Genomic DNA, 24,304 nt, shown 5'->3' with positions numbered 1-24,304 from the left:
GGGTAGACGAATGACTCAACACCCAGATGCCTTAGCTTTGGCCATACATAAAACTCTTGAAATCTATCCCATCTTGAAACAGAAGAGGGAAACCCTAGAATAACTGAAGTTAAGTTTTTTACCAAACTGGAAGAGCAGAATTCTCAAAATTAAAGCTAGGTTGATTTATATTTATAAATATAAATTTATATGTTATTCTTTGCATATCTGAAATTGTGGTCCAACACATATTTCTTTTTTTTTCTTTTTTTGATCTTTTAGGTTCAGGGGTACATGTGCAGATTTGTTATACAGGTAAACTCATGTCACAAGGGTTCAGTGTACAGATTATCACCGAAGCACTAAGCATAGTACCTGATAGTTATATTTTCTCTTCCCTCCCTCCACCCTCAAGTGGACCCCAGTATCTGTTGTTCTCTGTTTGTGTCCATTTGTTCTCACTACTTAGCTCTATTTATAAGTGGGAGAATATGATATTTGATTTGCTGTTCCTGTGTTAGTTTGCTAAGGATAATGGCCTCCAGCTCCATCCACGTTCCTGCAAAGGACATGATGGCTGCAAAGTATTCCATAGTCTATATGTACCACATTTTCTTTATCCAGTCTACCATTGAGGGCATTTAGATTGATTCCATATCTTTGCTATTGTGAATAGTGCTGCAATGAACATACACATGCATGTGTCTTTATGGTAGAATGATTTATATTCCTTTGGGTACATACCCAGTAATAGGATTGCTGGGTCAAATGGCAATTGTGTCTTTAGTTCTTTGAGGAATTGCCACACTTCTTTCCATAATGGTTGAACTAATTTACACTCCTATCAGCAGTGTGTAAGTGTTCCCTTTTCTCTGCAAGCTTGCCAGCGTTTATTTTTTGACTTTTTAGTAATAGCCATTCTGACTGATCTGAGATAGTATCTCACTGTGTTTTTTATTTGCATTTCTCTAATGATTAGCAGTATTGAGCATTCTTTCATATGTTTTTTAGACACATGTATGTCTTTTCAAAATTGTTCATGTCCTTTGCCCACTTTTTAATGGGGCTGTTTGGTTTTGCTTATAAATTTGTTTAAGCTCCTTATAGATGTTGGATGTTAAATCTTTGTCAGATGCATTGTTTGCAAAAATTTTCTCCTGTTCTGTAGGTTGTCTGTTTACTTTGTTGATAATTTCCTTTGCTGTGCAGGAGCTCTTTAGCTTAATTAGATCCCATTTGTCAATTTTTGCTTTTGTTGCAATTGCTTTTGGCATGTTTGTCATGAAATCTTTGCTAGTTCCTATGTCCAGAATGGTATTTACTAGGTTATCTTCCAGGGTTTTTATAGTTTTAAGTTTTACATTTAAGTCTTTAATCCATCTTTAGTTTATTTTTGTACGTGGTGCAAGGAAGGGGTCCAGCTTCAGTCTGCTTCATATGACTAGCCAGTTATCCCAGCACCGTTTATTGAATAGGGAGTTATTTCTTCATTGCTTGTTTTTGTGAGATTTGTCAACGATCAGATAGTTGTGGGTGTGCAGCCTTATTTCTGGGCTCATTCTGTTCCATTGGTCTATGTGTCTCTTTCTGTACCAGTACCATACTGTTTTAGTACTGTAGCCTTATAGTATAGTTTGAAGTCGGGTAGCATGATGCCTCCAGCTTTGTCATTATTTTTTTAAGAGAGTCACCCAGACTGAAGCGCAGTGGCATAATCATGGCTTACTGCAGCCTCAAGTTTCTGGGCTCAGGTGATCCTCCCGCCTCCTGAGTAGCTGGGACTACAGGCATGCATCACCATACCAGGCTATTTTTTTGTATTTTTTGCAAAGACAGGATTTTTCCTTGTTGCCCAGGCTGGTCTCAAACTCCTGGCCTCAAGCAGTCTGCCTACCTGGGCTTCCCAACATGCTGGGATTGCAGGTGTGAGCAACTGCACCCAACCAGCTATGTTCTTTTGGCCTAGGATTGCCTTGGATCTTCAGGCTCTTTTATGGTTCCATATGAATTTTAAACTAGTTTTCTTTAGTTCTGTGAAGAATGTCATTGGTAGTTTGATAGGAATAGCATTGAATGTATAAATTGCTTTAGGCAGTGTGGCCATTTTAATGATCTTGATTCTTCCTATCCATGAACATGGAATCTTTTTCCATGCATTTGTGTCATCTCTGATTTCTTTGAGCAATGTTTTATAATTTTCATTTTGGAGATCTTTCACCTCCCTGGTTAGCTGTATTCCTAGGTATTTGTGTGTTTGTGTGTGTGTGTGTGTGTGTGTGTGTCTATGTGTGTGTGGCAATTGTGGATGGGATTGTGTTCCTGATTTGGCTTTCAGCTTGACTGTTGGTGTATAAGAATGCTAGTGATTTTTGTACATTGATGTTGTGTCCTGAAACTTTGCTAAAGTTATTTATCAATTCAAAGAGCTTTTGGACAGAGACTATGCGATTTTCTACATAGAAAATCATGTCATCTGCAAACAGGGTAGTTTGACTTCTTCTCTTCCTATTTGGATGCCTTTTATTTCTTTCTCTTGCCTGATAGTTCTGACTCGGACTTCAAATACGATGCTGAATAGAAGTGGTGAGAGAGGGCATCTTTGTCCAAGACATATTTCTACTACATTCTCAGAGATGTCCTTACACTATGAATTTATCTTCCTCTTTTCTTCTGTCCACCCCATTCCATAAATCAGCTTGAACCCTGGGTCATGCCATATAACCAATCTTACTTATTTCCTTGATTCATCCATCTAACAAATATTTATCAAATAGATACTCGGTGCCAGATGTTGTTCTGGCCTTTTGGAGATACAATGGTGAATATTCTGGAAGTGACCTCTGCCCTAACAGAGCATGCATTCCAGTGAGAGAACAAACATAAACAAGTAGATTGGTGGGGGGTGGGGGGTGGGGTGGATCTTGGTGTGTTCCAAGAACTGAATGAAGGCTAATATGAATGAAAAATGGAAAAAGTAGTGAGAGGTGAATGAACCTGAAGAGGTAGGCAGGGACCAGATCATAATGAACTTTGTAGGTCATGGTAATAGGAGATTGAGTTTATTCTAAGTATTAATATAAAAGGAGGCTGTAGTATGGACACGTCAACCCAAACTTGATGGGCCTGGTCAAAGACAGTAGTTTAAACTCTGGCATAAAATCCCAAAAGTAATTGAGCAAGCCTGAGGTCCCTATAAATCCTCAATTATGTAAACTTGTGCTTACCCTTGGCATAATGCCCTAACATTTTAAAACTAACTGTATATAAGATACAAAGTATGAGTCATATGTTCAAAATTGTGGTGTGCTGGTGACTCAAATATATAAATATCTCAGTTTACAAAAGTTACTTGACTCTTGTATCTCTGAGTCTATAAAAATTTATGCTTTAATTTTATATTTGTAAGAAGTTATCTGAAATGCTAATCTAAATTTAAAGTTCTTAAAATTATATTATGAATTTACTGAATTGTGATACAACTTTAGACCTAGAGCAAAATCTCTAGTTGGAGCTACTAGTTTGGGTTTTTTTTTCCACTTGTACATTTCTATATAATGAAAGCATATTATGTAATTCATTCTAGATTGTCTTGATTCCCCTTAAGTTACTGCTTAACTTTAGGAAACAATCAATTTCCTTGAGTAAGTGCTTTACATTGGTACCTAGTTTTGACAGCTTCATGCCATTCTAAATGTTGAAAAATGTTCTCACAGAGAGAATTTTGCTTCATCCCTAGAAGGACATCATGACAAACACAAAGACCTTGTGCAATTGAGGTTATTACATTGTTAGCTCTAAATTGTCATTATTTGGTTCTACATGAATTGTCTATGTAGCAAGGCAGCAAAATGAGGGGTAAAACTAGCAATAGCAATTTTTCTTTTAAAAATGTTTCCTGGATATCAATGTGTTAGTAGCAAAACTGGCTTAATTTTCAATTCATTAGCTTTCAAAGCATGTTCAAAAGTGAGAAAAAGAGGCAGAGTAAAAGTAATTATGATAGTAAAGAAGAAAAAGAAAGTTAGGGAGTCCACCACCTTAATTATAGAGCTACATCCATGAAAAGCCAAGTATTCAGTAAAAATTTGTATTTGTGTAAAACTGGTGGCTATCGCAATAACTTATGCATGAGAAAGGAGGTTTATACTTCTGCTTAAGCTCCTCTTCAAGCTAAACGTTATTTCTATCCTCAGCTACAACTTATATTTTTCCCTCGATAGTTTTTAATATTAATTCAAACATAGTGAGTCCTCCTTATTCCTCTAATTAATTCCAAAAAATGTCAATTCTACCACAACTTCTTCTACACCTGTTTCTTCCTATCAATTATCACTTTCACATCCTAGATCAAGTTATTGTTATAGTTCACATTAATTCTATTCCTAATCCACCTCTTTGTATCTTCTCTCCCCAATCTCCAATCCATTTTAAATGTTGTTATGAGATTAATCTTTCTAAAATATAATTGCAACCATGTTATTTCTCTGCCCCAAAGTCATCAGTAACATCCCCATTTTTCCTAAATAAAACTCTACTTTTCTTTTTCCAATATGCAGACTACTGTTTCCAATGCCCTCTATGATCCTCAACATCCCCCAAACACTAGGCTCTCTCACTTGGTTTGGGGTGTAGGGAGATTTCCCCCCTCCCTCCCCCCACACACTTCACCTCTTGGTAGAGAAGTGGACTAACAGAGAAGAAATCCCCCTTACAAATTCTCTCCCTCTCTACCTTCTCTCCCTATCTCCCCATCTCTTTCTCTTATATATTCAGTCTGCATGAGGAACCCAAGAGTTGTGTAACCAATTATCAGATATTTCCTTTGAAATTTTACATATTGAGTTTTTAATGATGCAATAAAGTCCTTGGTCCTAGTTAACTGATAACTCAGCTAATTACTTTAAATCAACACTTACTCTGTATTCGAATAGTGTGCATTATGACATACTGTTCAATAAGATAAGCAAGGTCCCTGACTTAGAGCTTAAATTATTGGAGGAGGGGGTGGATAATAGATATTAAAAATAACTCTGATGGCTATTTCAGGAGGAAATAAATAGGTTACTATGGTATCATTTAACACAGAAAGGAGAAGGATGTTTCAAATCTCATTACAAAATGTCTTTCTGTAGAATTGCTATTTAAGCTCAGATCTGATACATGAGAAGAAATCAGAAGTGGAGGTAGAGCATTCTAGATAAAGGTAACAAGAGCAAAAGTTCTGAGGTGAAAATGAGCTTGTTGTGTTCTAGAAACCAAAAGATAGTATAACTGGAGTATACTGAACAAAGGGAAAGTTGGGCAACACGAGACCAATGTACATAAGGCGTTGATACTAACATTAAAGACTTTGGATTTGATCCTAAGTATAATAGATTGTAATTAGCAAGTATAATGGGTATAATCATTCTGAAAACTTTTTGGAGAATGTTTGGGAGATGGCAAAAGTTGAAATAAGGAGACTGGTTAGGAGGCCATAATTGAAATACAGGTCAGAGATTATATCTTAGACTAATTATGGTAAGGGAGATGGAAAGGAGTAGTTAGATGTATGTTGGAGACTGTTATTAGTCTGTTCTTATGCTGCTGATAAAGTCATACCCGAGACTGGGCAATTTACAAAAGAAAGACGTTTAATCGACCCACAGTTCCACATGGTTGGGGAGGCCTCACAATCATGGTGGAAGACAAGGAGGAGCATGTCAGGTCTTACACAGATGGTAGCAGGTAAAGAGAGAGAATGAGAGAGAAGCAAAAGCTGAAACCCCTTACAAAACCATCAGATCTCGTAAGACTTATTCACTACCATGAGAACAGTATGGAGGCAACTGCCCCCATGATTCACTTATCTCCCACCAGGTCCCTCCCACAACATGTGGGAATTATGGGAGTACAATTCAAGATGAGATTTGGGTGAGGACACAGAGCCAAACCATATCAGAGACAAAGCCTTATTCAATGTAAGAGACAAAGAGGAGTCAAGGTTAAATTCCAGATGTCCAATATTTGTAACTGGATAAATGGTGATGTCATTTGCTGAGCTAAGGGAGACTGGGAGAAGACCAGGATTAGAGGGGAAAATCAGACAACTGGAAAGTTTGGCTGAGAGAAATGCTATCACCCAAGGGCCAATTCATTCTGGATCAGAGAGATCTGGACCTTTTTACTCCTTTGAATGAGAACCAAGAAGCATCTTGAAATTCAATTTCCACACAAGTGTGGAAATAGAAACAAAATCTCTTTTTAAGGATATCTGGTGCAAAAGGAAAGTTTTTCTTGTGCAGTATTGACTATGCATTTTAATGAAAATAATAAGGGCCATCCTCCCTCATTTTTCTAATTAAGGATGTCTCTGACAACCAGCATATCATAGGCCCCAGTAATATAATACATGATATCGGAAGTCAAACTATATCATGGGACGTTATTGTGAAAACCTAAAACTGATTTATTCTTTGATTTCAGCTATAAATGGGTTTCAAAGTTGCCAAAAAACAAGTCAATGTACTTCGTGTTCAAATCAATTCTTGTGACACTGAGAAAAAAAAAATTTTAAGAATAACAGTGTTGATATTTTGAAAAAAATTAATCCTTAGTACCCTCTCTGGTTATTTTACCTGAAAGAAAATTGCTTTCATATTCCTGAAAGCTATACTTCTTTCCATAGAAGGATGTTAGCAGAGAAACATAGTAGTAGAGTTGCTCATATCAGATTATAACACCACCCTGTATTGCACAACAAAAAGAATATGTTAAAACTAAAATATTGTCTAATGCCAAGAAAAAATGGCTAATTTGGCAAAAATTATATTAATCATTTTATAGTGCCCAGAAGAACAACAAAATAAGACTGATTTTTTTCTAATATAATTTTTTGGCTACACATGATTATAGCTTTCATTTCTTAGCCTAAGTAGTTTGGAAGTTGGAAACATTGTAGCATGAGCTTAGAAAGCTGCTGAATAAGTAGAAATACAAAATTATAGCATGTTTTAGACGAAATATTGCTTCTTAATGCCAAGTACTGTATGTGTAATAAATCAAACTGTCACCTGGTTTAATTGAATCAATAAAAGAATATGGAAATAGCTTATTAGGTTATCTGCAAATGAGGATGTAAAAGTACTGAAAGATGTTTGAAAATTGCTTTCTCTCTAAAATATTTAAAATTCCCCATAACAATTGATATATCCTATTATTTGTGCACAATTTTGGAAATGTCTGCGAAGCAAAAAAGACAAGTTTGAATTCAAAGCCCAATTTGAATGGTAACAAATTCTGAATTGAGAGATTCCAAATATAAGAACTTCCGCCATATTTCAAATTATGCTAAGAATACATGGTTTATTAGGATAATATTTATTATTTTTGCCTTGAATAAATAAAATTAAAGGGGATAATTCTAGTTCTTAGTACAACCAAAGGATTAAGTAAAAGTCTATTTCAAAACTGGTAATGAAATGTTTTATATGTACTCATCCTTTACCTTGATTGCCTTCTTTATGCCTTCCATTCCATTTTATACCACTCAGCATGTCGACATATTGTGACAATAAATATACTTTATTTCCAGTGTCATCAAATATGAAACCAGAATGCAAACTCAGAAGTATCAAAAATATCATTGTTCATTTTCTCTCTCAAAAAGGTGGACAAGAAAGAATGAAATATATAAAATTTTTGGATTATTTTAGCATACCTAGAATATATTTTGATTTAAAAGGGGACTTTTTTTCTTTCAACAATGTTCCTCATCTCGTTAGTACTTAATTTATCCCTTTTAGAATGAGAAATCATCTTTTTTTCTGTTTTTCACTTCCTTGGTTTACAGATAAAATTATATTATGCTATTACCCTGGTGATACCAAATATTTACAAAGATTTGGGGATTTTTTGGGGGGTTCTATTTTCAATTCTGCAACTGTTTTTTATCCTATCCAACCTCCTTCCCTTTCTCTGCATTTTTATTTTCCACTTTTTTATATTTTTTTCCTAGCTCCCTCTCTCATTTGCTTACTTTCACTCCCTCTCTCCCTGCCCACCCCCCCCACACACAGATACACACACACACATACACACACACACACACACACTCTCAAATGCTTTTTCTGTCATTCCCATGCTTCAGGTTTCTAGAAAACTCATTAGGTCATTCTTATATTAATTTTCTACTTGTTTATCATTTTTTCAATCTAGTCTTGAAAAACACATCTGGTTTCCATTCTAATCAGTATTCCTCTGAGAGTAGCATCATGTTATAGAAGTCAAAGAATTCTCAAATAATAACCCATAATGGTTCAACTTCTGGTAATTTAAACTTTTATCCAGTAACTTTAAAAGAGCTATTCATGTAGTCTAACTTGGCAGCCTTTTTTTTAAGATAAAAGTTTATGGAGGTGGGGTTTGTGTGGGTAATCATTTAAAGAAACAATATTTGGAAACCTTTTTCAAAATGACAAATTTTTTAAACTAAACATGGAAAATGATTCGCTATTTTCAATAGCTATTCATTTCTGAGAGTTCACAATTGAAATGACACAACTTATGTGCTGTGTAAATGAGGTGATAGTGAAGACTATGTACTGAAAAAAGAAGACAAAAACATTAGAACTACTAAAAAAGAGCAAATAGATGTTAAGTGAGAAATTATTGAAAACTACTTACAAAACATAAAGCTATGTGCATTATGAGAGGATATAGTATTCAGAGGCAGCATGAAACAACGTGGCCTATGGGGAGCTGTCAGGGTTCAAACGATTTGCAATCAGACATTCTGCATTTGAAATATTGTTCTTAATAATTGTGTGACATAGGCAAGTTATTTAACTTCTCTGAGTCCATCACATGTTACAAGAATAATAGAGGACAAATTTCCACTTGAAGAAGCCTAAAGGGCTGGAGAGTGGATGCAAAAAATAAATAGGGTGCTTTAGAAGATCCGAAGTGAGAGTACAGTTGTGAAAGAAGATAATTAGATAATTCTAGTGCCAGCATTATAGGTGAGATTGAGCAGAAACCTCATGTGGGAAGGTGAGCCTGAAAAGAAATGAGAACAAGGGAAATACTAGAGCCTGAATGATCCTAATAAACAGTAAAAGCAGAGATGAATACAGTAGAAAACAGAAAGAGACTAATCTTCTGGCATATATCTCTATTTTATATATTAAAGCCTTACATAACACTTACTGCATGCCAGGCAGTTTTCTAAGCATTTTATAAAGTTAAATAATGCAGTCATATTAAGTTGGCATTATTTTTATCCTCATTTTGCAAGTGATGAAACTAGTCTTAGGTATAGTTTGCCAGAACAGGGAAAGAAGTGGAATAAAATTTGAGGTGACTTCAGTTCTCCAGCAAACATTGCTAGAAAGTTAAACGAGAGATAGTTTTGTCCAGGAAGAAAATAGTAATAACAATAATAATTACAACAACAGCATTTATTGAGCCTTTATTAAGTGCCAGCCACTGTTTCAAGTTTCTATATATCTCTCTTTTGGCATATATATATATTCCTATTTATATATACATATATATAACTATATATATATAGAAAGAGAGAGAGAAGGAACAGTAATAAAAGAGTACAAGTACTCCTTTATCCTCATTTTCCAGATGAAGAAACAAGGCACAAGAGAATTTAAGTAACTTTCACAAGTTAATAAAGTTTGAAATAAATTGGAATATTGATACAGAAGGGCTAATCTGAAGCCTGAGCCTTTAGCCACTATTACTTTCAACATACGGTTTATTTTCATAAAGGGGGTGGGGAGGGTGTCCCTAGCATGCTTCACTTTTTCAAGTGTGCCGCATCTTAAAGTGGAATATGCTTGTTGACATGGTCAGTTCACATGTAAAGAACCCAAATAAGAAGCCCTCCAATACTGAAGTGAAACTTGCTAAGAAAGAAAGCATACTCATCTCCAGAGGACTCTCATGCCAGCCATCCATAATACTAAACTCAATCTTTAATCATACATATGAACCAAAGATGACAAACATTTGCAGAAAAGAAGAAAGATCAAAGTGAAGGCACCAAGAAAACTGATCCTTCATAAAGGCAATCCAAGAAATATAAAATATGTATTTCAAATTCTTACTAGAATTTATATACTCATTCATTTTTAAAATATTCACTATACACCTCCTACTATGTATCAGACTCTGAATTGTGGTAGTAAATGCCATGGTGATATAACCCCACCCCTCCACCCCCAGAAAAAACCACCACAACAACACATGTTACTTGCTCCCATGGAGCTTATTTGAAATTATATTGCATTATTTTAAAAGCATAATCTGACAGAAAATGAAGCAGAAAAAAACAGGATTAGGTATCAAGACTATGATAGCAGAACAAATAATTTGGCAGAATGGTTAAGTAATAGACTGAATATGGCTAAAAAACAAATAAATGATTTGTAATGTCCAGCATTCAAAATTAGAACAAAAAACAGAGAGGCAGAAAATAGAGAAATGTTAAAGGATATGGAAGATCAATTTAGATAGTTTATCTTCACTTCAAAACGAATTCCAGGAAGAAAATATGAAGGAAAAGCGAGAGAGCAATGAACACTTTACAAAATTGAATAAGAACTCAAGTGATCAATTGAAATGACCCACCAATGGCTAAGCATAATGAGTGAAGACCCATGTCATGGTGAAACCTCTGAACTCAAACAATAAGTAGAAAATATTGAAAGTTTCTAAAAATAAAATTTGCACAAGTTGCTTACAAAGGAACTAGAATCAGATTGGCATCAGATTATATCATTAGGCAGCACTTGATGCTAGAAGAAAGTACAGAATACCTACAAAGATTTGAGCAAAATGATATTAAGCTAAAATATATACCAGTTAAAATATTATTCAGATGCAAGTATAAATAAAAACGTTTTCTTGCAAATAAGAACTTCAAATGTTTCCCAACTTTAGACCCTCCCTGAAATAATTACTGTGGCAAAATAAAAAATGTTTCCAAGAGGAAATGTGGGATACAAAACAAAAAGGATGAAATACTACTCAACAATAAAAATAAACTATTTACTGGTATGTAGAACATGTGCATGAATCTCAAATGCATTATGCTAAGTGAAAGAAGCCAGACCCAAAAGGCTACATGCTGTATGGTTCCATTTTATGTTCTAGAAAGGCAAAAACTATAGGTACAGAAACAGATTGCCAGCGGATGTGGAGTGGGGATGAGAGATTGACAACAACCGGGCATGAAAGGATTACTTGGGTGATGGAACAGTTCTATATCTTGATTGTGGGGGTAGTTACACAATCATGTACTTTTGGCAGAACTCACAAAACTAAAGGTGAAAATTACAGCATATAAATGATACCTCATATATAAATACATATTATATATATATTAGTACTATATATAATTAATATAATAATAATATAATATATATATTAAATACATATATATTAGTACGAATGAGGGACAAAACAGCGGAGAGTAAAGAAACTAGTTAAATATATATTTGAATCTCAGTGTTAAAATTTTAAAAATAGGGGAGAGGGCAAGATGGCAGACTAGACAAAGCCAGGTGGAACAGCTGCCACCGAGGGACTGAGATGACTGGTGTATTCCTAACAGATCTTCAGAGGGAAGGCACCAAGTGTGGTCACAGGGAAAACACAGAAGCTGGGCTGAAGTGGGAAAAAGCCAGGAACCCTGCCCTGGGCTATGGTGCACCAGGACTTATTCCTGGTTCCCAGCGACTCAAGGAGAATGGGCCAGTTGAACTGGCAAGGAGCAACCGGCTCTCACCATGGGCCTTAGTGCAGGAGGAGACTCCTAAACCACCACAGACACTCAAGTTGACAGGGAGAGCTGCTTAGAAAAGTGGTAGGGACAGCAAGCCAGCTGATGTGGAGCCCAGAGGGTTTGGCATGAGAGCATGTGTAGCAGAACACGGCCAGGGACAGCCATCCTCCTAGGCTTGGCTTGCTCCCATAGGAGACATTAGCCCCAGGAGAACTGTCGGACCTGAACTCTGCAGGTCAGTCTTGCCCATCAGACGGGGCCAGTCCAACCTGAGCACTTCTTGGTCTGCTGGCTTCTCCTGGGCCTCCAGCCTTGCCACATCTGCTTGCAGGGCATCCTCGGGTGTTCTGGGGTCCTGCCTCATAACTCCTGCACTGGTGGATCATGCTTGACTGGTGGAGAGCGCCAGTGGGGCAGTCCCCATGGCCAGCCCGGCTGCTCTGCCTGCTCCCTCTCCACACTGTGTCTTCCCTCAGGCCCACAGCAAACCCCAAACATGTACCGGCACACATGCGTATGGGTGGGTTTTGCTTTCCTTGCCCTGCCAGTGTGTGTGTGTGTGCACGTCTCTGTGTATGCACCCTGCCCTGCCACTGCTGGGTCAGAAGTGCACTCCGCTCCCCCACGGCACTCCCCACCACTAACCATCATTGCAGTTGGAGCCTTGGCCGGCACTTAGCCAGCTAGCCAGCCCCACCCCGGCCAGCACCCCACCCTCCCGCCAAAGCTGCTGCTGTGGGAGTGAAGCTAAGCATGGAGAACAGCAGACCCTCCCCCACCCTGAGTGATCACGCCTGCCTGCAGTGCATAAATCACACATAGTCCTGTGCCCTCCAGCGCCCCAACACCGTGCCAACACTATCAACAGTGCAACCGCCTGCAGTCACCAGCAGGGATGCCCCCCAACCCATCAGTCCTGGAGCCATATTGCCTCTGCCACTGTGATGAATGCCCATATGAAAACAGGAACCCTGGCATCCAGTAGCACCCTGCTTCAGCCAACGAGTGTGCACCCCACCACATTTCTATTGCTGCTGCTGCTGCTGCTGGCATGTGTGAACAAAAATGGATCCTGCTGTCACTGCGCTATGAAAAGCTTTGACCGACACCACCCATCAGAATGCAGTGACCAGTGGTCTGGGAGCAACTCAGCTCCCCCAGGACAGTGGATTTCTAACCTTGCGGAGCCAGAGAACAAAGTCAGGGCCCAATACAAGTCCCTCAGAGTTAGAGCTCGCAGTCCAGGAGTTGGGAGCTGAGCGTTGGCCCCCTGGAATCTTCCAGAAATGAAGCCAGTTGGTTAAATCTACCTTATACCACAATCAAACCTTCCGGGTCATCACATAGGATAAAAGAAATAACCATTCAAAGGTCAGCACTTCAAAGACTGAAGGAACATAAGCCCACAAAAATGAGAAAGAACCAGCTCAAGAACCCTGACAACTCAAAAAGCCAGAGTGCCTTCTTTGCTCCAAATGACTGCATCACTTCTCCAGCAAGGGTTCTGAACCAGGCTGAGATGGCTGAAATGACAGAAATAGAATTCAGAATATGGATAGAAATGAAGATCATTGAGATGCAGGAGTACATTGAAACCCAATCTAAGGAAGCTAAAATAAAATGATGTAAAAGCTGACAGACAGAATAGCCACTATAGAAAGGAACATAATCAACCTGATAGAGCTGAAAAACATGCTACAATAATTTTACAATGTGATCACAAGTGTTAATAACAGAATAGACCACATTGAAGAAAGCATCTCAGAGCTTGAAGACTGGCTTTCTGAAATAAGACAGTTGGACAAGAATAGAGAAAAAAGAATAAAAAGCAACAAACAAAATCTCTGAGAAATATGGGATTATTTAAAGAAACCAACTCTATGACTCATTGGTGTCCCCAAAAGAGATGGGGTGAGTACAAGCAAGTTGGAAAACATATTTCAGGATATCATTCATAAGAACTTCCTCTACTTAGCTAAAGAGGTCAACATTCAAATTTGGGAAGGCAGAGAACCCCAGTAAGATATTTCACACAAGAAGATCATCCCAAGACACATAATCATCAGATTCTCTAAGGTTGAAATGAAAGAAAAAATGTTAAAGGCAGCTAGAGAGAAAGATCAGGTCACCTACAAAGGGAAGCCCATAAGACTAACAGAGGGCTTCTCAGCAGAAACCCTACAAGCCAGAAGAGATTGGGGGCCAATATTCAACATTATTAAAGAAAGTGAATTCCAACCCAGAATTTCATTTCTCATCAAACTAGCTCCATAAGTGAGGGAGAAATAATATCCTTTTCAGACAAGCAAATGCTGTGGGAATTAGTTACCACCAGAACTGCCTTACAAGAGCTCCTGAAGGAAGCACTAAATATGGACGGGAAAAACCATTGCCAGCCACTACAAAAACACACAGATCAGTGACACTATAAAACAACCACATAAACAAGCGCCCATACGAACCAGCTAACATCATGATGACAGGATCAAATCTACACACAATAATACTAACCATGAATGTAAATGGGATAAATACCCCAATTAGAAGACATAGAGTGGCAAGCTGGATAAAGAACCAAGACCCATTGGTATACTGTCTTCAAGAGATGCATCTCACATGCAATGACACCCATAGTCTTAAAGTAAAGGGATGGAGAAAAAACTACCAGGAAAATGGAAAAGTGAAAAAAAAAGGAGTTGCAATCCTAATGTCAGACAAAACAAACTTTAAACCAACAAACATAAAAAAAAGACAAGGAAGGGTGTTACATAATGATAAAGGGTTCAATTCAGTAAGAAGACCTAACTATCCTAAATATATATGCACCCAACACAGGAGTACCCAGATTCATAAAGCAACTTCTTAGAGACCTTCAAAGAGACTTAGACTCTCATACAGTAATAGTGGGGGACTTTAACACCCCACTGACAGTATTAATACAGATCATTGAGGCAGAAAATTAACAAAGATACTCAAGAACTGAACTCAGCACTGGATCAAATGGACCTGATAGATATTTACAGAACTCTCCACCCAAAACAAGAGAATACACATTCTTTTCATTGCCACATGGTATATACTCTAAAATTGATCATATAATTGAACACAGAACATTCCTCAGCAAATGCAGAACTCAAATCATAACAACCAGTCTCTTGGACCACACACAGCACAATACAGTTAGAAATCAAGAATAAGAAATGCATTCAAAATCATACAATTACATGGAAATTGAATAACCTGCTCCCAAATAACTTTTGGGTAAATAATGAAATTAAGGAAGAAATTAAGAAGTTCTTTGAAATTAATGAGAACAAAGATGCAACATACCAGAATCTCTGGGACACAGCTACGGCAGTGTTAAGAGGGAAATGTATAGGACTAAATGCCCACATAAAACAGATAAAAAGATCTCAAGTTAACAACCTAACATCACAACTAAAAGAACTAGAGAACCAAGAGAAAACCAACCCCAAAGCTAGCAGAAAACAAGAAATAACCAAAATCAGAGCTAAACTGAAGGAGATTAAGACACGAAAAAACATTCAAAAGATCAGTGAATCTAGCAGTTTTTTTTTGAAAAAAATTAATAAACTAGATAGACTGCTAGCTAGACCAATAAAGAAAAGAGAGAAGATCCAAACAAACACAATCACAAAAGACAAAGGGGATATTACCCCTAGCTCACAGAAATACAAACAACCATCAGAGAATACTATAAACACCTCTGTGCACATAAACTAGAAAATCTAGAAGGAATGGATAAATTCCTGGACACATACACACTCCCAAGACTGAACCAGGAAGAAATTGAATCCCTGAATAGATCAATAACATGTTCTGAAATTAAGGCGATAATAAATAGCCTACCAACCAATAAAAATGCAGGACCAGATTCATAGCTGAATTCTACCAAAAGGTACAAAGAAAAGCTGGACCATTTCTACTGAAACTATTCCAAAAAATTGCAAAGGAGGGACCCCTCCCTAGCTCATTCTGTGAGGCCAGCATCATCCTGATACCAAGACCTGGTAGAGATACAACTTCAGGCCAATACCCTTGATGAACATAGATGCAAAAATCCTCAACCAAATACTGGCAAACTAAATCGAGCAGCACATCCAAAAGCTTATCCACCATGATCAAGTTGGTTTCATCCCTGGGATGCAAGGTTGGTTCAACATACACAAATCAGTAAATGTGATTCGTCACATAAACAGAACTAAAGACAAAAACCACATGATTATCTCAATAGATGCAGAAAAAAGGCCTTCAATAAAATTCAACATGCTTTCAAGTTAAAAACTCTCAATAAACTAGGTATTGAAGGAACATACCTCGAAATAAGAGCCATATATGACAGACCCACAGCCAATATCATACTGAATGGACAAAAGCTGGAAGCATTCCTATTGAAAATCGGCACAACACAAGGATATCCACTCTCACCACTCCTATTCAACATAGCATTGGAAGCTCTGGCCAGGGCAATCAGGCAAGAGAAAGAAAGAGTATTCGAATAGGAAGAGAGGAAGTCAAATTATCTTTCTGTGCAGATGACATGATCCTATATCTAGAAAACCCCATTGTCTCAGTCCAAAAGCTTCTTAAGCTGATAAACAACTTCAGCAAAGTCCCAGGATACAAAATCAATGTGCAAAAATTGCTATCATTCCTATATACAAACAATAGGTATAGAGAACCAAATCATGAATTGTGAATGAATTCCCACTCACAATTGCTACAATAAAAATAAAATGCCTAGGAATTACAGCTAACAAGGGAAGTGAAGGACCTTTTCAGTAAGAACTACAAAAGACTGCTTAAAGAAATTGGAGGACACAAACAAATGGAAAAACCTTCCATGCTCATGGATAGACAGAATCAATATTGTGAAAATGGCCATGTGGCCCAAAGTAATTTATAGATTCAATGACATTGACATTCTTCACAGAATTAGGAAAAACTTTTCCTAACAATTTATATGGAATCCAAAAAGAGCCCAAATAGCCCTTTCTCTGCAAAAACAAAGAAGAGCCATATACACATCATCTCTGTGTCTTTCTATCATGCCCTTTGCTTGTCTTGCAGTATTTTATTGTACACCAAGCTTGTATACAAAAGAACTATAGAGTCTGAAGATGATGTTACTTGTCACCAGAGGTGGTTCTTCCTTTTCTCATTTAGGAAGAGGGACTGAGACTATGATTTAATCAGTGGTTGAGCTAGATCAGAGCTGGAATGCAGTTTTGGTAAGATTTTTTTTTTCTTCTTTTTATTATACTTTAAGTTTTAGGGTACATGTGCACATTGTGCAGGTTAGTTACATATGTATACATGTGCCATGCTGGTGCGCTGCACCCACTAACTCGTCATCTAGCATTAGGTATATCTCCCGATGCTATCCCTCCCCCCTCCCCCCACCCCACAACAGTCCCCAGAGTGTGATATTCCCCTTCCTGTGTCCATGTGATCTCATTGTTGAATTCCCACCTATGAGTGAGAATATGCGGTGTTTGGTTTTTTGTTCTTGCGATAGTTTACTGAGAATGATGATTTCCAATTTCATCCATGTCCCTACAAAGGACATGAACTCATCATTTTTTATGGCTGCATAGTATTCCATGGTGTATATGTGCCACATTTTCTTAATCCAGTCTATCATTGTTGGACATTTGGCTTGGTTCCAAGTCTTTGCTATTGTGAATAATGCCGCAATAAACATACATGTGCATGTGTCTTTATAGCAGCATGATTTATAGTCCTTTGGGTATATACCCAGTAATGGGATGGCTGGGTCAAATGGTACTTCCAGTTCTAGATCCCTGAGGAATCGCCACACTGACTTCCACAAGGGTTGAACTAGTTTACAGTCCCACCAACAGTGTAAAAGTGTTCCTATTTCTCCACATCCTCTCCAGCACCTGTTGTTTCCTGACTTTTTAATGATTGCCATTCTAACTGGTGTGAAATGGTATCACATTGTGGTTTTGATTTGCATTTCTCTGATGGCCAGTGATGATGAGCATTTTTTCATGTGTTTTTTGGCTGCATAAATGTCTTCTTTTGAGAAGTGTCTGTTCATGTCCTTCGCCCACTTTTTGATGGGGTTGTTTGTTCTTTTCTTGTAAATTTGTTTGAGTTCATTGTAGATTCTGGATATTAGCCCTTTGTCAGATGAGTAGTTTGCGAAAATTTTCTCCCATTCTGTAGGTTGCCTGTTCACTCTGATGGTAGTTTCTTTTGCTGTGCAGAAGCTCTTTAGTTTAATTAGATCCCATTTGTCAATTTTGTCTTTTGTTGACATTGCTTTTGGTGTTTAGACATGAAGTCCTTGCCCATGCCTATGTCCTGAATGGTAATGCCTAGGTTTTCTTCTAGGGTTTTTATGGTTTTAGGTCTAACGTTTAAGTCTTTAATCCATCTTGAATTGATTTTTGTATAAGGTGTAAGGAAGGGATCAAGTTTCAGCTTTCTGCATATGGCTAGCCAGTTTTCCCAGCACCATTTATTAAATAGGGAATCCTTTCCCCATTCCTTGTTTTTCTCAGGTTTGTCAAAGATCAGATGGTTGTAGATATGTGGCATTATTTCTGAGGGCTCTGTTCTGTTCCATTGATCTATATCTCTGTTTTGGTACCAGTACCATGCTGTTTTGGTTACTGTAGCCTTGTAGTATACTTTGAAGTCAGGTAGTGTGATGCCTCCAGCTTTGTTCTTTTGGCTTAGGATTGACTTGGCAATGCGGGCTCTTTTTTGGTTCCATATGAACTTTAAAGTAGTTTTTTCCAATTCTGTGACGAAAGTCATTGGTAGCTTGATGGGGATGGCATTGAATCTGTAAATTACCTTGGGCAGTATGGCCATTTTCACGATATTGATTCTTCCTACCCATGAGCATGGAATGTTCTTCCATTTGTTTGTATCCTCTTTTATTTCCTTGAGCAGTGGTTTGTAGTTCTCCTTGAAGAGATCCTTCACATCCCTTGTAAGTTGGATTCCTAGGTATTTTATTCTCTTTGAAGCAATTGTGAATGGGAGTTCACTCATGATTTGGCTCTCTGTTTGTCTGTTGTTGGTGTATAAGAATGCTTGTGATTTTTGTACATTGATTTTGTATCCTGAGACTTTGCTGAAGTTGCTTATCAGCTTAAGGAGATTTTGGGCTGAGACAATGGGGTTTTCTAGATATACAATCATGTCGTCTGCAAACAGGGACAATTTGACTTCCTCTTTTCCTAATTGAATACCCTTTATTTCCTTCTCCTGCCTAATTGCCCTGGCCAGAACTTCCAACACTATGTTGAATAGGAGTGGTGAGAGAGGGCATCCCTGTCTTGTGCCACTTTTCAAAGGGAATGCTTCCAGTTTTTGCCCATTCAGTATGATATTGGCTGTGGGTTTGTCATAGATAGCTCTTATTATTTTGAAATACGTCCCATCAATACCTAATTTATTGAGAGTTTTTAGCATGAAGGGTTGTTGAATTTTGTCAAAGGCTTTTTCTGCATCTATTGAGATAATCATGCGGTTTTTGTCTTTGGCTCTGTTTATATGCTGGATTACATTTATTGATTTGTGTATATTGAACCAGCCTTGCATCCCAGGGATGAAGCCCACTTGATCATGGTGGATAAGCTTTTTGATGGGCTGCTGGATTTGTTTTGCCAGTATTTTATTGAGGATTTTTGCATCAATGTTCATCAAGGATATTGGTCTAAAATTCTCTTTTTTTGTTGTGTCTCTGCCTGGCTTTGGTATCAGAATGATGCTGGCCTCATAAAATGAGTTAGGGAGGATTCCCTCTTTTTCTATTGATTGGAATATTTTCAGAAGGAATGGTACCAGTTCCTCCTTGTACCTCTGGTAGAATTCGGCTGTGAATCCATCTGGTCCTGGACTCTTTTTGGTTGGTAAGCTATTGATTATTGCTACAATTTCAGATCCTGTTATTGGTCTATTCAGAGATTCAACTTCTTCCTGGTTTAGTCTTGGGAGAGTGTATGTGTTGAGGAATTTATCCATTTCTTCTAGATTTTCTAGTTTATTTGCATAGAGGTGTTTGTAGTATTCTCTGATGGTAGTTTGTATTTCTGTGGGATCGGTGGTGATATCCCCTTTATCATTTTTTATTGCGTCTACTTGATTCTTCTCTCTTTTTTTCTTTATTAGTCTTGCTAGCGGTCTATCAATTTTGTTGATCCTTTCAAAAAACCAGCTCCTGGATTCACTAATTTTTTGAAGGGTTTTTTGTGTCTCTATTTCCTTCAGTTCTGCTCTGATTTTAGTTATTTCTTGCCTTCTGCTAGCTTTTGAATGTGTTTGCTCTTGCTTTTCTAGTTCTTTTAATTGTGATGTTAGGGTGTCAATTTTGGATCTTTCCTGCCTTCTCTTGTGGGCATTTAGTGCTATAAATTTCCGTCTACACACTGCTTTGAATGCGTCCCAGAGATTCTGGTATGTTGTGTCTTTGTTCTCGTTGGTTTCAAAGAACATCTTTATTTCTGCCTTCATTTCGTTATGTACCCAGTAGTCATTCAGGAGCAGGTTGTTCAGTTTCCATGTAGTTGAGCGGTTTTGAGTGAGATTCTTAATCCTGAGTTCTAGTTTGATTGCACTGTGGTCTGAGAGATAGTTTGTTATAATTTCTGTTCTTTTACATTTGCTGAGGAGAGCTTTACTTCCAAGTATGTGGTCAATTTTGGAATAGGTGTGGTGTGGTGCTGAAAAAAATGTATATTCTGTTGATTTGGGGTGGAGAGTTCTGTAGATATCTATTAGGTCTGCTTGGTGCAGAGCTGAGTTCAATTCCTGGGTATCCTTGTTGACTTTCTGTCTCGTTGATCTGTCTAATGTTGACAGTGGGGTGTTAAAGTCTCCCATTATTAATGTGTGGGAGTCTAAGTCTCTTTGTAGGTCACTCAGGACTTGCTTTATGAATCTTGGTGCTCCTGTATTGGGTGCATATATATTTAGGATAGTTAGCTCTTCTTGTTGAATTGATCCCTTTACCATTATGTAATGGCCTTCTTTGTCTCTCTTGATCTTTGTTGGTTTAAAGTCTGTTGTATCAGAGACTGGGATTGCAACCCCTGCCTTTTTTTGTTTTCCATTGGCTTGGTAGATCTTCCTCCAACCTTTTATTTTGAGCCTATGTGTGTCTCTGCATGTGAGATGGGTTTCCTGAATACAGCACACTGTTGGGTCTTGACTCTTTATCCAATTTGCCAGTCTGTGTCTTTTAATTGGAGCATTTAGTCCATTTACATTTAAAGTTAATGTTGTTATGTGTGAATTTGATCCTGTCATTATGATGTTAGCTGGTTATTTTGCTGGTTAGTTGATGCAGTTTCTTCCTAGTCTTGATGGTCTTTACATTTTGGCATGGTTTTGCAGCTGCTGGTACCGGTGGTTCCTTTCCGTGTTTAGCACTTCCTTCAGAAGCTCTTTTAGGGCAGGCCTGGTGGTGACAAAATGTCTCAGCATTTGCTTGTCTGTAAAGTATTTTATTTCTCCTTCACTTATGAAGCTTAGTTTGGCTGGATATGAAATTCTGGGTTGAAAATTCTTTTCTTTAAAATTTTGAATATTGGCCCCCACTCTCTTCTGGCTTGTAGGGTTTCTGCCAAGAGATCCGCTGTTAGTCTGATGGACTTCCCTTTGAGGGTGACCCGACCTTTCTCTCTAGCTGCCCTTAACATTTTTTCCTTCATTTCAACTTTGGTGAATCTGACAATTATGTGTCTTGGAGTTGCTCTTCTCGAGGAGTATCTTTGTGGTGTTCTCTGTATTTCCTGAATCTGAACGTTGGCCTGCCTTGCTAGATTGGGGAAGTTCTCCTGGATAATATCCTGCAGAGTGTTTTCCAACTTGGTTCCATTCTCCCCATCACTTTCAGGTACACCAGTCAGACGTAGATTTGGTCTTTTCACATAGCCCCCATATTTCTTGGAGGCTTTGCTCATTTCCTTTTATTCTTTTTTCTCTAAACTTCCCTTCTTGCTTCATTTCATTCATTTCATCTTCCATGGCTGATACCCTTTCTTCTAGTTGATCGCGTCGGCTCCTGAGGCTTCTGCATTCTTCACGTTGTTCTCAAGCCTTGGTGTTCAGCTCCATCAGCTCCTTTAAGCACTTCTCTGTATTCGTTATTCTAATTATACATTCTTCTAAATTTTTTTCAAGGTTTTCAACTTCTTTGCCTTTGGTTTGAATGTCCTCCCGTAGCTCAGAGTAATTTGATCATCTGAAGCCTTCTTCTCTCAGCTCGTCAAAATCATTCTCCATCCAGCTTTGTTCTGTTGCTGGTGGGGAACTGCGTTCCTTTGAAGGAGGAGAGGCGCTCTGCTTTTTAGAGTTTCCAGTTTTTCTGTTCTGTTTTTTCCCCATCTTTGTGGTTTTATCTACTTTTGGTCTTTGATAATGGTGATGTACAGATGGGTTTTTGGTGTGGATGTCCTTTCTGTTTGTTAGTTTTCCTTCTAACAGACAGGACCCTCAGCCGCAGGTCTGTTGGAGTACCCTGCCGTGTGAGGTGTCAGTGTGCCCCTGCTGGGGGGTGCCTCCCAGTTAGGCTGCTCGGGGGTCAGGGGTCAGGGACCCACTTGAGGAGGCAGTCTGCCCGTTCTCAGATCTCCAGCTGGGTGCTGGGAGAACCACTGCTCTCTTCAAAGCTGTCAGACAGGGACATTTAAGTCTGCAGAGGTTACTGTTGTCTTTTTGTTTGTCTGTGCCCTGCCCCCAGAGGTGGAGCCTACAGAGGCAGGCAGGCCTCCTTGAGCTGTGGTGGGCTCCACCCAGTTCGAGCTTCCCGGCTGCTTTGTTTACCTAATCAAGCCTGGGCAATGGCGGGCGCCCCTCCCCCAGCCTCGCTGCCGCCTTGCAGTTTGATCTCAGACTGCTGTGCTAGCAATCAGCGAGACTCCGTGGGCGTAGGACCCTCCGAGCCAGGTGTGGGATATAATCTCGTGGTGCGCCGCTTTTTAAGCCCGTCAGAAAAGCACAGTATTCAGGTGGGAGTGACACGATTTTCCAGGTGCCGTCCGTCACCCCTTTCTTTGACTCGGAAAGGGAACTCCCTGACCCCTTGCGCTTCCCAAGTGAGGCAATGCCTCGCCCTGCTTCGGCTCGCACACGGTGAGCACACCCACTGACCTGCGCCCACTGTCTGGCACTCCCTAGTGAGATGAACCTGGTACCTCAGATGGAAATGCAGAAATCACCATCTTCTGCGTCGCTCACGCTGGGAGCTGTAGACCGGAGCTGTTCCTATTTGGCCATCTTGGCTCCTCGCCCCCAGTTTTGGTAAGATTAACCCACATTTTGTTCTCCTCTGTTCTTTGGACATGGCATTCATGGGCCTTAAATTAAGAACCTGGAAGTTTCTGAATCCTCAGCCATGAAAATTTAGAGAGATTCAATTCTATCCTTTGAATGTGTTGAGTTTAACTCTTTAAACTTCGATACCACACATCTTCAAAATTTAATATATGTCTTGATGAGAAGACCAACCAGGTATTTGCAAGACTGCCTCGTAGTCGCTGTAAGAACTGTAAAAGACATCATAGAGACTTCAGAAGTTTCTGACCCAGCCCTGCCTCAGCCTTTCAAAACACCACATAACTCAGCAAATATCCTGTGGTAAAAATTAGCTGCCATGTATGTGATGCTGCTTTAAATTTTTATAACTGCCTGCATAATTGTCCAAAGTTCTGATGGTTCATCTCTTCCATAGTAATGTACTTCTGCCTATGCTAACCCTGATTCTCAGCAGTACTCAGAATCCGTAGATGCTTTCAAGGGATGAAAATAACTGAGAGTGACAGCTCACATAGGACTCTTCCCTCTAGAATTTTAGCCTCTCCCTTGCCCGTTGTTTCCAGTGTCCTTAAAATAGCATTTTTGTAATATCTCTACTTTTTTCTCATTATTGAAGTGGAAACATTGCCTACAAGAACTACTATATCTTACTGAGAAGCAAAAGTGATTTTTTTAAACCATCTTTATTCTTCTTACAAAAAAAACCTTAAAACCCCCTAGAAAAGTTGAAAACAAAGCAATAGAAAAAGAAAATACCATGTAACTATTTACCAAAAGAAAGCTAACATGGTAATATTCATATAGAATAAATTAAAATTTAAGGAAGAAGACATTGGTAAGTATTAATATGTGTGTACCAAAAATATTGGCTAGAAATATATAAAGCAAAAATGTTCAGACTCTCATGGATTAACTGACAAATCCGTAACAACAATATAATATTTTAATCCTCCTCTCTTAAATAACAGTAGTTAACTCTGACAAAGAATTGTTAAAGAATATTTATTAGGAGAACATTTGTAAGTTTGGCATGCGTGTGTGTGTTTGTGTGTGTGTATTAGACACTGCATTCAACAGTCAAGACTATACATTCTTTTCAAGTGAAGGTACAAATGGAACAATTACAAACATTTTCCACATACTGTCATAAATGAAATCTCAGCAATATATAGACTTTATTACCTTCCTACTGCTCCTAACTCACTGAAGTCCTTTCTTCCTTACCTAAAT

General features: G+C 38.4%; 1 protein-coding gene across 20 annotated transcripts in view, besides 1 other annotated feature; it reads left to right on the top strand.

The window, feature by feature from the left end:
* The window catches only part of FAM227B (family with sequence similarity 227 member B), a 293,849-nt gene that overhangs the window by 201,785 nt on the left and 67,760 nt on the right, over window positions 1-24,304 (top strand). The window lies entirely within an intron of this gene.
* Window positions 22,336-22,849: an enhancer, noted in NCBI's record as "OCT4-NANOG-H3K27ac hESC enhancer chr15:49688382-49688895 (GRCh37/hg19 assembly coordinates)". NCBI's record gives its function as "activates a minimal SCP1, AML or CMV promoter by ChIP-STARR-seq in primed H9 embryonic stem cells {active_cell/tissue: H9 hESC(primed)}" and the evidence as "EXISTENCE:reporter gene assay evidence [ECO:0000049][PMID:30033119]".

The sequence above is a fragment of the Homo sapiens genome, chromosome 15 (assembly GCF_000001405.40).
Source record: "Homo sapiens chromosome 15, GRCh38.p14 Primary Assembly".
Lineage (NCBI taxonomy): Eukaryota > Metazoa > Chordata > Mammalia > Primates > Hominidae > Homo > Homo sapiens.
This window is presented reverse-complemented; position numbering and strand designations above follow the sequence as displayed.